At 36.9% G+C, this 15,233-nt stretch overlaps 1 protein-coding gene across 3 annotated transcripts in view; it reads left to right on the plus strand.

The window, feature by feature from the left end:
- HHIP (hedgehog interacting protein) overlaps positions 1-15,233 on the plus strand; it is a 99,116-nt gene that overhangs the window by 7,643 nt on the left and 76,240 nt on the right. For all 3 annotated transcript variants that reach the window (NM_022475.3, XM_005263178.6, XM_006714288.5), the window contains exons 3-4: positions 4,992-5,148; positions 5,839-6,040. In NM_022475.3, the coding sequence (NP_071920.1) occupies positions 4,992-5,148; positions 5,839-6,040 (359 nt within the window). The remainder of the gene's footprint in view (positions 1-4,991; positions 5,149-5,838; positions 6,041-15,233) is intronic.

Consider the following 15,233-nt stretch of genomic DNA (forward strand, 5'->3'; position numbering starts at 1 on the left):
TTTGACTAGGGTTGCTTGCTCCTTTGCATCTAGCATAACATATATCTAAACCCATTCAATATGAAAATATTATTATTGTCTTCATAAACCACAGCCATGTTTCTAAGCCTTTTCTCAAGCAGCTGTTTCTTCCTCTTTATCACATTCCCCAAAGCAAAGTAGAATAGGTCACGGTTGCCTAGATGGCCTACAAAGAAGTGATAACAGATTAGATACCATAAATGTTTGCTGGAAACTTCAAGTCTTGAACATTTGCCTTTAGGACTATAAATTGAAAGTGATATCAACACTTAGCATTTTTATTTACCATTATCTACTTTAGATAACTACAACATGCTAGATTTGGGGACTTAACTGTGGGGGTCTTTATATATTTGAAGTAATTTTAGCTTCCAAAAACAATAAAATAAAAGTAATATCCACTGAAAGAGAGAGCACAGCAAACAGCTCAGAGCCAGAACTGCAAGCACCTCGCTCCCCAGATCAACATATGTGGTGACGAATGACAAATTTATTTTTCTACAAAGTTTGTATATATGTAAAACTGCTGAAGTGCATCAAGATGTCAAGTGCTTTTGGTGGCCACCCAGGCTGCTTTGAAAGATAACCAGATGAAAGCTCCACTCTAGAAGTGGACAGAGCAGCAACAGTGCTTTCCAGAGACTCTGGAAGGCTTTACTGACAAGCAGAGGGGGCTGCCCCTGCGTACCTCAAATGCTAATGATCATTCTCAATACTTGCCCCAAAAGTGAGCTGTAATAACACAGTCTTTGCATTACTTATGCTAATCGATTTGTTGCCTGGATTGATCCTTGGCATGTAGGTTACCATTTCCTAAAGTACAATAAATAAGATGCTAATCCCCACCCTTCCCTGCCCCTGCCCCCAGCACAGAAGTGTCTTTACAATTGTGGAACACAGATTTTTTGGAAATTACTATAAAAGCAAATTTTAATAGTTTTCCCTTAAGTTGATTTAATGATATGGTTCACTTTCCTCTGAAGTTCAAAGTGTTGGAACAGCTACTTTGTGATTCTTTTTTAGAAGAAACTAATCAACATATTTTGACTATCCTCATTAATAGCTTCATCTTTCTACAAATCAAAAACTTGAAGAGGAAGGTACCCCGAGGGATGTATTTTGCTAAAAGAAGCCAAATGCTGGAAGAATTGGGAGAGAGAAATGATTCCAGAGACATCTTCATTTGTTCCCTATTGCCCAATGCATGAAGAAATGTACATATAAATGACTTAACCATTTGCTTTGACTTCATGGCTTTAAGAAAGCACAGTCACTTTAGAATATTCATATACCTATAAGATAGCTACTTCCTAGAAAGCTTAATTAAGAAATAGTCATAGTCTGCTTATTTTCCCAAAAATGGGAAAAGATATTACAAAGCAATATAGTGAGTATATACTAGAGTTTTATTAATCATAATATTTTCCAGTTGTGAATTCACTTAGGGAAGTAAATTCTCAAAACTTCTAAAAATGCCAAAAACTCTCCACTTGTTTCTGCAGGACTTTTCTTCTGCTTAACTGAGCAGGGTACCTACTTTGCTAGTCACTAAAAGAAGGCATAACACACTCTATGGGAAGCATATCGATGGACGTCTATTGGCCTTGCTTCTTCCTCTGTACCTGTAGTCATAATGATGTTTATCACTCTTCGACCTCATCTTCTCAGCAGTAGGTTATTGTAGTGTGAAATGTCTGCACACAATTAGTTCAATTGGTATAATCCTATTGCTAAGAAGGCCAAGGTCAAGGGTTTGATTCAACTGAATTTTCTAGTCCATAGCCATTCCTAACCCCGGCCAGTTAGCTTACACATGTGTCTTCTTAGTCCCAAGGAGAGTAAACCAGAAGGAATAAACAGATGGATATATCAAAATCCACCACTTCTATCAGAATATGTTCATGAGTAAGTCTTACTCATGAAGAGTCAGTAACTTTTTTTTCCTTATCATGATGAGCAGCACTTATAATGAGGAAAAATAACTTTTCCCTGGAATACATGCTGAGAGAAAAGGGAGAACTCAGAATACTCCAAGGAAGCATTTATTTTATACGTCAGTATTTATAGGGTGCTTTGTGGTATAGCAGAACCAGGCTCATGATCCAGCAGAATATTTACAGATCCAAGATAGTTGATAAATGATCAGAACTTAAAAAAAATACAGCTGCTAGAATATTTGGTGTTTGTTCATTATTAGTAGACCTGACCATATTATGATGATCCCGAGTGAGCTAAACATGCACTTTCAGTAAAATGACAAACAAAAGGGAGCCCTGGCAATAAATGTTAAAATATATCTCCCTATTCATCATTGTTCACTGCAGAATCGGGTCATTTAAGGTAAAGTATTAATAAAAGTGTTAGATACTTAAATTCAAATAAAATTACATGATTGTAAAGAAAAAAAGCCCATGTATTTAAGTAAAAATCTTCTGAGTTGGTTTTCACACTTAGGTTATTCAGTTTGTCTAAATTACATAAGAAGCTTGGAGTAAATTTATTGTTAACATTCTGTATTTTTTCTTAATTTGCTAAGCAGGCATTGTACCTCTGGAGCCACCAAGTTTATGAATATATATTCATTAATCTTTAGATATTCCGTTTGAAAATGACTTCTCATTTCCTCGTATTTGTCCCAGTTACTAATTCCCTTTAAATTGGAATTGACCACCAGCATTGTTTATTAATTTCACCTTAAGATGGTATTGGTTAGTAGACAGTAATGCTGAAACACACATTTTTTTTAAGCAAGCTTGAAATTTCTTTTGAATTGCATTTTGAAATTTTTCTGTAACCCTTCTGGCAAACATCACCTTAAAACTATATTTCTCACTCACATATCCAGTTATAAATATGACCATAGTATGACAGTCTTCCTGCATGCATAATATAGGCATGGAGATTTTGTTGCCTGATGGTAAATATTTCCAAAACAAGATCTAGCCCAAAACTGTGCAAAGAGTTTGATTTAACAATTTAGTTTTTTTTTTCTTTTTACCTCTAAGAGACTTGTTTAACACTATTAGGCAGTTTTCATGTGAATGCTTACCCATTTAAGAAGGGAGGGAAAAGTGCTTCTAATCCTTGAATTTTTTTTCAAAGAAAAATAACTTTCCAATTGCCTTGCCCCTCCCGTGGAGCACTTCCCAGCTGCTTGCCTCTTTTTCTCTGTGCCCCCCACCGCATGCATGTACACACACATACACACACACTCCCAAGGACATCTGCTCTTACTTGCCTGGTTGCCAAGACAAGATCCTTTCCAATAGCCTAGTCAGAAATTGGCAGGGAAGAGTCTCTCTCAGAAAGTTCAGGGTGAGACATTTCACTCAAAAGTTAGGTCAAAATGTACTTCAAGCTTTACAACCATTTGGGACCTTCACATTCTAAGATAAGTTTTAGGTTTGAGGGATCCTAGGTCAAGCACACAGAAAGTAAACTTGTAGTGTCTTTTATGCGCCATTGATGAGTCTCACTTGGCTGATCCCAAATTCTTGTTCTTAGAAATCCTTGCTAAATCTGAATTTGTTATACAACTTCTAAATTTCTACTGAGCTACTCAGTATGTTTATCACAAAATTGATGAGGTGTGAAAATATAATTTGTTATATAAAAATAAAAACTTTAGATATATAATATAAAGTATAAGACCAGAAGCAGCAATTTAGGACCATATATAAGACTGACTCTGGTAATACCGTCATATTTTGAGAGCAGAAATCATTAGAATGTGGAAGTGAGTCTTGCTAATATGTCCCAGAAAGGTAATACCTTATTAACTCAAATTGTAAAAGTAATATCAAAACTTTTTTGCCATAAAGTTATTTCCTTTCATATTCAAAGATAGCTGTCTTTATATGATAAAATATTTAATGTGTAAGAAAAGAAAACACATCTTACTTTTAGATCCTATTAAGTAACTCCGTTGTGTTTTTGTTTTGGCTTGTTGATATGTCAGCTTTTCTGTTTGAGACGATTGAAGGAATATTTTAAATATAATTTTTCTATTACACATTAATCATTATCTCCTATAAGTGAGGTGCAGGAAAAAGGCACTTATATATTTGAAAATGGAGGCTCTGTTATAAGCACCAATTCATTGCTTGATCATTACACAGTGAGTCAGTTGTTTATTATAGCATATAATGACCTTGTGTTATTCATTAGATTTATTATTTAATCTTATGTAAGTGGCAATACACTAAGACTTGTAAAATGACCAAAACTGGCACCTGATGGCCTGTCTCCTTCTTGATTCTTGTTTGTTCATCTGAGGAAGTTATTTAGTATTGTAGGAAAAAATGCTAAATACTGATGAGATATGCTCACAGGTACAACATACAGTAACTAGAGAATCTTGAAAAGACATCAATGCAATAGCAAGATAAATGCTGAGTTTGTCTTATTTGTACTTCATGGGAGCCTTTTAATACTCAACACAATATTATTTCACTTTTACCACAATTTTTAAATTTAGTTTAAAACACAAATGGGAATCCCAACCCCCGATATTTTTCATTCTTTTTATTTAGTATTTATTTATTTATTTATTTATTTATTTATTTTTTCAGAAGGTGTCTCGCTCTGTGGCTCAGGCTAGAGTGCAGTGGTGTGTTCTTGGTTCGCTCCAACCTCCACCTCCCGGTTCAAGTGATTCTCCTGCCTCAGCCTCCCGAATAGCTAGGATTATAGGCGCATGCCACCATGCCCTGCTAATTTTTATATTTTTAGTAGAGACGGGGTTTCGCCATGTTGACCAGGTTGGTCTCAAACTCCTGACCTCAGGTGATCCACCCACCTCAGCCTCACAAAGTGGTGGGATTACAGGACTGTTTTTATTTCAGTCTAGGTTCTTCCTAAAATATCCACCTAGTTTCCCAAAATTCTTTTCCTCATCTTATATCTTTCAAATAAGGTGGTTTTACTATGACATTAGGTGCTTCTAATGAGTCTTTTTATATTTTTTAAAGGTTTCCTTCAAACAACTGCGGATGAGTTTTGCTTTTACTATGCAAGAAAAGATGGTGGGTTGTGCTTTCCAGATTTTCCAAGAAAACAAGTCAGAGGACCAGCATCTAACTACTTGGACCAGATGGAAGAATATGACAAAGTGGAAGAGATCAGCAGGTTCATAAAGATAAATGCTCTTTAATCTTTTTAAAAAAACCCAACTGACAAATCTTGTGGTTTTGACAGTGAATCAACTGTCTGTGCTTATGTTCAGCAGCTATATCCTCCAGATGCTTTAGTTTTTTCTCTGTGGTAGTTTGTTTCTCTAAAATTCTAGCTTAAATGCTTTTAATACTTAGACTACTAATCGTATATTATGAGCTTGGCTTCTCTATGACTCATGTCAATTTTATGGGTATAGTTTTAAGCCTGAATTTTATGATTGTTGTTAGTCTATGGCACTGTGAAAATGTTCAGCACAATTACCATTAGCAAATCAGGTTTTTCTAAATAGATCTTAGAACTTTCTCTCTACATGCCTTCCATAAGGTTTATTTATTGTGAGTAAAACTAATTTTAATTATAGTCGCTGAAATATGAGAAAATGAGATTATGACATTTGAAAATATATACATGTTTTGATTCTCTTATTTTACTTTCTGAAAGAAGGCTGTTTTGTTTTTTGCCATTGAAAGAATTTAAAAGAACCACTTAAAAGAATTATATTGTGACCCTTGGGTTAGCAAGCACTTCATGGTTCTCAAAACCATGATTCCTAGAGGAAATAGAGTTTGAAAAGGATGCCAAGTGCATCCCTTATCTCCTTCATCTCAAGAAAAGCTTACCGGTTTTCTTTAATTTGTTTAGAAAGCACAAACACAACTGCTTCTGTATTCAGGAGGTTGTGAGTGGGCTGCGGCAGCCCGTTGGTGCCCTGCATAGTGGGGATGGCTCGCAACGTCTCTTCATTCTGGAAAAAGAAGGTTATGTGAAGATACTTACCCCTGAAGGAGAAATTTTCAAGGAGCCTTATTTGGACATTCACAAACTTGTTCAAAGTGGAATAAAGGTTGGCTTTTTAAATTTTATTTATTTTTGTGCTGGCTACGTTAATTTTATTTTAGTGTTACCTTCCTCACTGAAGGTATTTCTTTGTAATAAAAGAAAGAATCTTGCAGGAGAAAATAAGGGGGCAACATAAGAAACAATAATTATGGCACCTGAATTAGGACAGTGACATTAAATTTCTGTTATTTGTTGACTATTGTGCGCTGCAATCGAATTGATATTTGACATGCTTTCCCCATGTAATTGACACATTTAAAGGAATCTTTGGCTTTATAAAGTATTGTTTAAATATTGTTTAATGGGCATAACACAGGACTGTACATCAGCATTTGCTAGTAGAAACAAAGAGGTCTTTTGGTTATTTTGGCAATTGCAAATCATTCTTTCACCATCTCTGTTTTTGAGTCTGTCTCATAAAAAATACTACTTATACTACAACTTCCTTGTACAATGTTTTTACAGGTAAGTCAAATATTTCTATAATTAGCCACCTATAAAACATATATTGCCCTCTTTTTCACTTCTCTAATTTGAATTCTCATTTTAAATAACCTAGGTATGTAAACAAAATTATTGTCAAGTTTGTTTCACAAGAGTGACACAGTATAACATTAGCAGTACTAAACCATAAAGCAAATTATGACGTTCTAAAATTAAGACACATTTAATAGCTCATGCCTATTTTAGAATGAAACAAAGTAACAATATGATTTGGGAAGAACTGGTTATCCTTTTCATTTCTTAACTGAAAAAAAAAAACCTGAAGGAGGATTTATAGTCTTCTACTCACATAGAAATGAACTCTTTCTTGCTTTGTTGTGCTGTACTCCAGTGGTAAGAAGACCCAAATCAGAAGAAACAAGTCAGGAAAAATATAGATATATTCCTGCTATCTATTTCATTTTCTTATCGTGTGAGAGTTAAGATGACTCCAGTCTTTATTTTTTACCATTGTAAATAATGTTATTTATTATTCATGTACATTTTACTTAATCTGGTCATGGATGACTTCCTTAATATTCATTCACAAAAAGGGCATTACTGAGTTGAAGATTATAACCATAATACATATTGCCAATTTGCTTTAAAAATATTTTCAGATATTTGAGAATAATACTAATTATTTGAGAGAACTGATATTAATATTAACAATAGTTTTCAAATGTGCTTTGAGTAAAAATGTTGGTATTAAAAAGATATGTATGATGTAATATAGATGTAAGGAGGGCTCAGAATACTGGAAAATTTTTTATAACAAGAACTGATGTTCTTGTTTCTACCTCAATTTGACTGCCTTTTAAATCAGGGTTCCTTCAGCATCCCTATTTCAATTTACACCCTTCGTAGGGCTCTCTGATGATTCATTGCCATATTCAGCTCTGACATGGAGATGTTTCATTATGTAATAAAATTGTACAAGCAAGGATATAACAGTACCTTGGTTCTGAGTATGTGTATTCTGCAGTCTTCCAGGAATTCTGCAGTACTTGGCCAAATTTACAAGAAAACTTGCAGAATTTGGACCTCCTTTTCCAGAAGAGCTCCCAGGTTTCTGGGGCCTAAAATATACTTCAAAACCTGTTATTCTGGTGAACTTATATGACATATTTTAAGATGCAATATTTTAAATTCCTTTGATGTTTTAGCGCTAATTATGTCCACGAGATAGGAATATATCACACGGATATCAGAGTGTATAGTGAGTAATAAGATCACATCCTTCTTACTTCAAGCAGGTCATGCTGCACATGGCCTTTATCTCAGTGTCTGTGGAACTTCCCGATTGGAAGAGTTAAGGCCACTGTCAGTATGATGGGGCAGATACCACCATATTTATGAGTTGATCATAGCACTGATTTTGGTGGTTGCCCCTCAGAGACTTGTAATGTAAAAGCATTTTCACAGCTATTTCTGGCTTCTTTAATATATGAAAGTTATCATATATTTATGACAGTATTCTGTGTTTGTCAATAATCATTTTGCATAAGTAATGCCAATACGAATTTTCATAAATTATTATACATATCAACTATTCTATTTTTTCAGTTTTAAAATCCTAAGAGAGGGCATAAAGCTGTTTAACAGACTAAAGTATTAGTTGCAATACTCAAATCACAGAATTGGTAATACATACTAAACCCAACCTCCACACGTTTGAAATTGAGAATAATACAAACCACATTGCAGAACCCCTTCACAATTACATTAATTGATGACTAAGAGGAATATGTTAAGTCAGACATAAGGAGGAATTTCTGATTATAAGAGTTTCTAAAATCTATTGCTGGCTATTTTTAAAAAATCTGGAATTCCTTGTCTGCTAATGTAAATTAATTGGGAGTGATTTCTGTCACATGGTAAAGGCTGACCTTTTTTAAGGCCAAGAGTTGGACTTGCTTATCTCTTTAAACCTCTACCAACTCTGATTCTTATAAGTGCTTGAGAGGGATGCCATCAGCCAAGAGCCAATCATAAGGGAACTTGGACAACTCTTCCTAAATGGGTCCTAACTGAAGCTAAAAAGATGATGTCTTATTTTTACACACCAAGATCGTGCTGCCTAAATTGTAGGAGATTGTAGTACCCTGGGGGCTAAACTGTCTGCAGTTCCCAGAGAAAAAGTTAATCTGCAAAAAATGCAAAGCACAAGCTAAAGAATTAACTTCTTTTTGCTATAGAAAAAAAAGTTGTGGCATTGAGATTAAAGAGTAAGTCAGGAATATGTTTTTAAAATATGTAGTGATTTGATAGCTCTTTGATGATAGTGTACTCTACAAGCTAATCACTATTACTGGCACTGTGAAGAATGGGCCACATGTCAAACTGATGAGCAAACTTTAAAACTTTCATTGTGTGTGTGGCTGTGTGTGTGCATGTGCACATGCAGCGTTGTTATTGTTCTGTTGTTATCATTTTATTCCAAAGGGCAAAAATTACAAAAATTTTACTATCTCCAGAAAGAAACACTTCTTTGAGATACTGGGTGATTTGAAATCTTTAAATTGAGCTTATATCTGAGCTCTGAAATCAGAGCTTCTGGCAAGTGCTAGAACCAGCTTTGTCTATCTAAAGTCCTTGGCAATGATAGACTAATGCCTCTAATGATACTGTGAAGAATGGCTTCACAGTATAATCACCCAGGAGCTTTCAAAAATTCTTATAGCCAAGTTGGGTGTGGTGTCTCATGCCTGTAATTCCAACACTTTGGGAGGCCAAGTCAGGAGGATTACTTGAAGTCAGAAGTTCCAGACCAACCTGGCCAATATGTTGAAACCATGTCTCTAATAAAATTACAAAAAAAATTAGCCGGGCATGGTGGCATGCACCTGTAGTCCCAGCTACTCAGAAGGCTGAGGCAAGAGAATCACTTGAACTGAACCTGGGAGGCGGAGGTTGCAGTGAGCCAAGATCATGCCTCTGCACTCTAGCCTAGGCAACAGAGCGAGACTCCATTTCAAAAAAAAAAACTTCTTATACCCCAAAACAGTCAGTCAGAATATCTGGGGTTGGCACCCAGGCATCAATATGTTTTTAAAGCTTTCCCAGGTAATTCCAATGTGTAGCCAATTTGAAAACCACTGATGTAGCCTGAGCCAAACTTCTGGATCACTTACACATTGAATGAGACATATTTTCTCTGCCAAGCCTACACCCAAGTCCTATTCCTGACTTAACAACTAAGAGCAGGTGGTTGGATACCAGTTGTCATTTGCCCTGTACCTTTTCTAATTTACTTAGTTTATATATATTACTTATCCAACTTGAGTGAGGAATTGGGTTAATTCTGGCAGCATGTAAGATGCTTGATATAAAGCATATGAAATACCATTTGAAAAAAATGGTATTTAAAAATCTCAAGTTAATTCTAACTGGGAAATGGCTTTACCAGTTAATCTTTTTCTGTTTTTGTTCCATTTTGGAATCTGGTGCTCAGCTAGTTGGCAAAATTGCTATTGTTCCTGTTCTTAAAATATGTGGATTGTGATTATATATATAAAACCTTGTTAAAAGCAACAAGGCCACCAGAAGATACTCTAGTGTAATTTCACCAAAATGCCCCTGACTGCCAAGAATGTGAAAGTCAGCCTTAGCTTTGCATGTGTGTTAAAGGAAGGATATGCCCGCACCTGTCACTTGGCAGGGTGGCCCCTCAAGGAAACTAGCAAACACCATTCTCCGCCACTTAGTTCTTGCGAGTGGTCAGAGGATGAAGAGGTTCACACCCTCAGCAGCCCTCGGCTAGCAGCACACAGCAGACACAGCTGAAAGCCTTGTCTATCATTGGAACAAGTGTCACTGGACTCCTGTCCCTCTCTATCTACTTGGACCCTCATTTCAAAAGATGCTTTTAGAAGCAGTCCTTTAACCAGGGGAGGAGAGGACGTGAGGCTGAAAGCTGCTAATTGTCCGGGTGACTGAGCCAATTGAGGTGGAGCTCTTGAGAGACAGCAGTCCCTGTGCCGGAAGTCACAGCAGCATGTGGAGGAGGATGCAGGGTCCACCAGGGCAAGCCCTGATGGGGAAGCCTCTGGTTTCACAGGCTTGTAAATCACAAACATAATTATGAGTATCAAAAATTTGTGAAATCTAAGTCCTCATCAACCATGGAGGCTGATGTTCCATTTCTCTGAACTTTGTCAAACCTTTTTACATTTTTTTCTTTGACTTGCAATCTTAAGGCAACCCATGAAGCGTTAGTGTATTTTTGCTTGAGTGAAATGAATCAAAGCAGATTGAGAAGCAATTTATTTTTCAAAAGTAGTATTGGTAACATAGCATGCATACACATTATACACACATACACATATGGTGATTACTAGATCATGTAACAAATGCTTCCCCAGAAAAACTGCTGAGAACTCTGCTTTTAAGCACACATTAGGTTAGAATAAAGCCTGTGTTAATAGAAAGAAAGCAACAGATTATATTTGTTAAATATTACAATAGAAGAATCACCATTGTGGCACATTTTTGTATACTGAATGGCATTTTTACTTTTTGACTTATCAGATTACTGCTCAGAAGTCATAATGCCTCATCTAAAAGAGAGTTGTTATAGTGGTGGAAATAAACAATAAATAAACTCATTAAAAAGTGGTAGAAATTGTCTTCCCCAAAATAAAAATTTTTAAGCAACTTCTTTATAGTTTAAAATTCTGGTTACAAACCGTTTATGTTATGTAAAAATATAAACAAAATGCAGATTGCAAATAAAGATGTTTTTATTTTTTTGTGTGTGTTTGTTCATTTTTTGAGACAGAGTCTTGCTCTGTTGCCCAGGCTGCCGAGTGCAGTGGTGCGATCTCAGCTCACTGTAACCTCCTGGGTTCAAGAGATTCTCCTGCCTCAGCCTTCTGAGTAGCTGGGATTACAGGCATGTGCCACAATGCCTGGCTAATTTTTGTAGTTTTAGTAGAGACAGGGTTTCCTCATGTTGCCCAGGCTGTTCTCAAACTCCTGGACTCAAGCAATGCACCTGCCTCAGCCTCCCAAAGTGCTAGGATTCCACCACACTTGGCCTCTTATAAGTAAAGTTTTCGACTGCAGTTATTTCTAATATCAATGTAGTAATGGCATGGCTTTTAATCCAACTATTTTTATTTTATTGAGTGTTGCTGATCCTTTATATCACAATGCTCTGTACTCTGTGAAAAATGTCATTTTCAATTTTCATGTAAGTTTAATCTCATTTTAAATGTATAAATGCCCACAAAGAAAAATTATTTTTCATAAAGCCAAAAGTCCCTTAATAATGTGAAATAACCTCAGTGTAATTTTTCATTTGGTTGAGTTAGTTTTTGCTCCTGGTATTCTTTCATTATTTTTGAATTTGCTATTCTATTGATAAAACCTTTCAATAAGTATAAGTGTGCATTTATGTGGTTATGCCAGTTTAAGGCAGTTTAATCTGTAGTTTATTTTCCACCCTATTTTTTACTGAAGCAGAAACTGGAGTGACAGATGCCATGTTTCTCCAGTTGAGTAGAGAAAGCCCTGCCTTCTCCTAAATTTTAGGTCCCATCAGTCACAGCAGAGGTGAGGAAAGTTTTTACATTAATATCTTTATATTTACCTAAGATTTGAAGGGCAAAGGAAATAGAAGCTATAAATCTGAGCAATCTCATGGTAATCACTTAAAACAAGTGAAAAACCGGGAAATCTGGACCCTAGAAAACGTCTGCCGTCTTTAAAGGGCATCTCTTTAAGTGAGATATCTACCATCTTCTACAGACTGTCTCTGACTAGAAAAAATAAGAAAATCTACTGATGATATAAGTTATCATTGTTTTCCAGTGGCTGTATTACCTCATAAAAAGAAAATATCAAACATCACAAAACTATCTCTAAATGGCAGAGAATTCCCTTTGGTACAGAATTCCCTTTTGAAGATTGTTTCCTGATACTACAGTCGTGTGTGTGTGTGTGTGTGTGTGTGTGTGTGTGTGTGTGTGTGTGTGATGAGAACACTTAAGAAATCTATTCTCTTAGCAAATTTCAAGTATACAATAAAGTTTAATACTACAGTCTTCAAGCAAGCCATGTTGTTAGCAGACACTCTCTTCTTCTTTCTTATTAATCATAACCACCACTTTTTAAGTCCTTACTTTCATAGTCATTTCATTGATTACTTCTGGAATCCCTGTCAGGTAGGTGTTAATATCCCTTTTCACAGATGAAGGGACTGAGGCCCACATGTTAAGGAAACTGCCCCGATACCACAGCTAGCAAGTACCACAGACAGATTTCAAATGCAGTTTGTCTGACACTGTGCTCTCAACCAGGGTGCTAAGCTGCTAAATGCTGCTATATGCCTCTAATGAGTGGCACTGCATGAGAGGAGAGACTGCAGAGCATGTTAAGAAAACAAGACTGGTGATGGTTGGTGTCAGCATGCTCAGTGAGGAGGCTGAGAGCCCAGCATCTAGAGTCATGGATAGACACCTGGGTTCTGACCACTGTTCCTACCAAGTCTTACTGGTTGTTTGGCCTTGGGCAAGTTGTTTAACCTCTCTAGGCTCACTTTCTTTATCTGTTAAATAGAGACAATAAAAGGTCACACCTAATATTTTGCATGCACAATCACACATAAATGTGAAGTGCTTTGTAAGCTGTTAACCATCATCTAACATACTAACATAAAAAGGAGGGGAAGAAGGAAAATATGCATGACTCACAAGCTCCAGTGACCACTGCTAGCAATACACCCTGGGGTTGAAACAGTCCCTCATAAAATGAATTTTGGTGGCTCACTTCCAATCCCAGCATTTTGGGAGGCTGAAGCAGGAAAATCACTTGAGGCCAGGAGTTCAAGACCAGCTTTATCAACATAGCGACACCCCATCTTCTACCAAAAATTTAAACATTAGCCAGGTGTGATGGCATGCACCTATAGTCTCAGCTACTCAAGAGGCTCAGCGAGAGGATCCCTTGAGCCCAGGAGTTCAAGGTTGCAGTGAGCTATGATTTTGCCACCACACTCCAGCCTCAGTGACAGAGTCAGACCTCATCTCAAAAAAATAATAAATAATAAATAGAACAAAATGTATCTGTATAACTTACGGGAAACTCATGATAGTGTTAGCATTCGCACCAAAATAATACGGCAGTCCCTTGGAAACAAAGTTATTGACGCATGTGGACTGGCTTTCTTTACCTCAGAAAGATAAACCTAGGATATGTTTTCTATTTAAATGTGTTACTAGAGAAAAACAACACCTTTTGACAGCATCAACTTTGGACATTAATTATAGGGTATTGCTGCCCACCTCACTGCAAAGTCCCCAGCTCTGGAGTTTCTCAAAGCACAGGACTAACGATGACTAAGCACAAAGCAGCTGACCCATAAGAACTACAGCAACCTTTCAGCAGCATTTCCTTGCTTTCATAGTAGTTTTTCTCAACCTGGATATTATAGTAATGTCGGTCTTTTTTGTGTTTATTTTGGAACATGGTTTCTGTCAATCTACCACAGAGTTAATAAATTGTAGGATTTGCAAAGGAAATATACTGGGACTGAAAAGTAAGAAGGCACATATTTTTGCCCACTAGCAACTATGGCTCACAGCACAGATTTAGAATGTCAGTTGGGAGGGGGGCAATTGGGTAAAGCTGCTATAAAATTAACATGAAATGGATGTTACAGAGAGTATATTTCTCAAGAAATTATTATTATTATTATTATTTTGAAAAGCAGATCAGGCCAGGCGCAGTGGCTCACACCTGTAATCCCAGCACTTTGGGAGGCCGAGCCGGAGGACCATTTGACGTCAGGAATTCAAGACCAGCCTGGCCGACGTGGTGAAACCCCGTCTCTATTAAAAATATAAAAACTAGCCGGGTATGGTGGCAGATGCCTATAATCCCAGCTACTTGGGAAGCTGAGGCAGGAGAATCACTTGAACCCCGGAGGCGGAGGTTGCAGTGAGCCGAGATCGCGCCACGCCACTGCACTCGAGCCCGGGTGACAGTCAGATTCCATCTCAAAAAAAAAAAGCAGATCAGTAAAATGTGCCATGAAATCAGAGAAGAGAGAACTTTAAAAGATTTTAAAGTTAAATCTTTAAAGAGCAACAGTAGACAGTAGACATTATCAGTGAAATGTGCTGAAGATCGGGTGCAAGAATACATAAGTGGGGCCGCTCTTAGTGGCTCACGCCTGTAATCCCAGCACTTTGGGAGGCCTAGGCGGGCAGATCACGAGGTCAAGAGATCGAGATGATCATGGCCAATATAGTGAAACCCCTTCTTTACTAAAAATACAAAAATTAGCTGGGTGTGGGGGTGCACACCTGTAGTCCCAGCTACTCAGGAGGCTGAGGTAGGAGAATCGCTTGAACCTGGGAGGCAGACGGTGCAGTGAGCCGAGATCACGCCACTGCACTCCAGCCTGGTGACAGAGCAAGAGTCCGTCTCAAAGAAAAACAAAACAAAACAAAAGAATATATAAATGAAAGAGCCCCAACTACCTATCTCTCAAACCTCAGGCTACAGTAGACCCTCTTTCTATCACACTGACAAATTTTTTATATAAAGTCTAAATCTGTAAGCAAATTTGCTCTTTGGTTTGTGTCTACCTTTCTATGACCAACTTTGGAAGTTTGTCTATGTAGTGTAAGGCTTTTAACAGACTTCTTTCATCTTTGCACTTATATAATAAGTATACACATAAATTTATTTTATATAATATATAATAT

The sequence above is a fragment of the Homo sapiens genome, chromosome 4 (assembly GCF_000001405.40).
Source record: "Homo sapiens chromosome 4, GRCh38.p14 Primary Assembly".
NCBI classification, from domain to species: domain Eukaryota; kingdom Metazoa; phylum Chordata; class Mammalia; order Primates; family Hominidae; genus Homo; species Homo sapiens.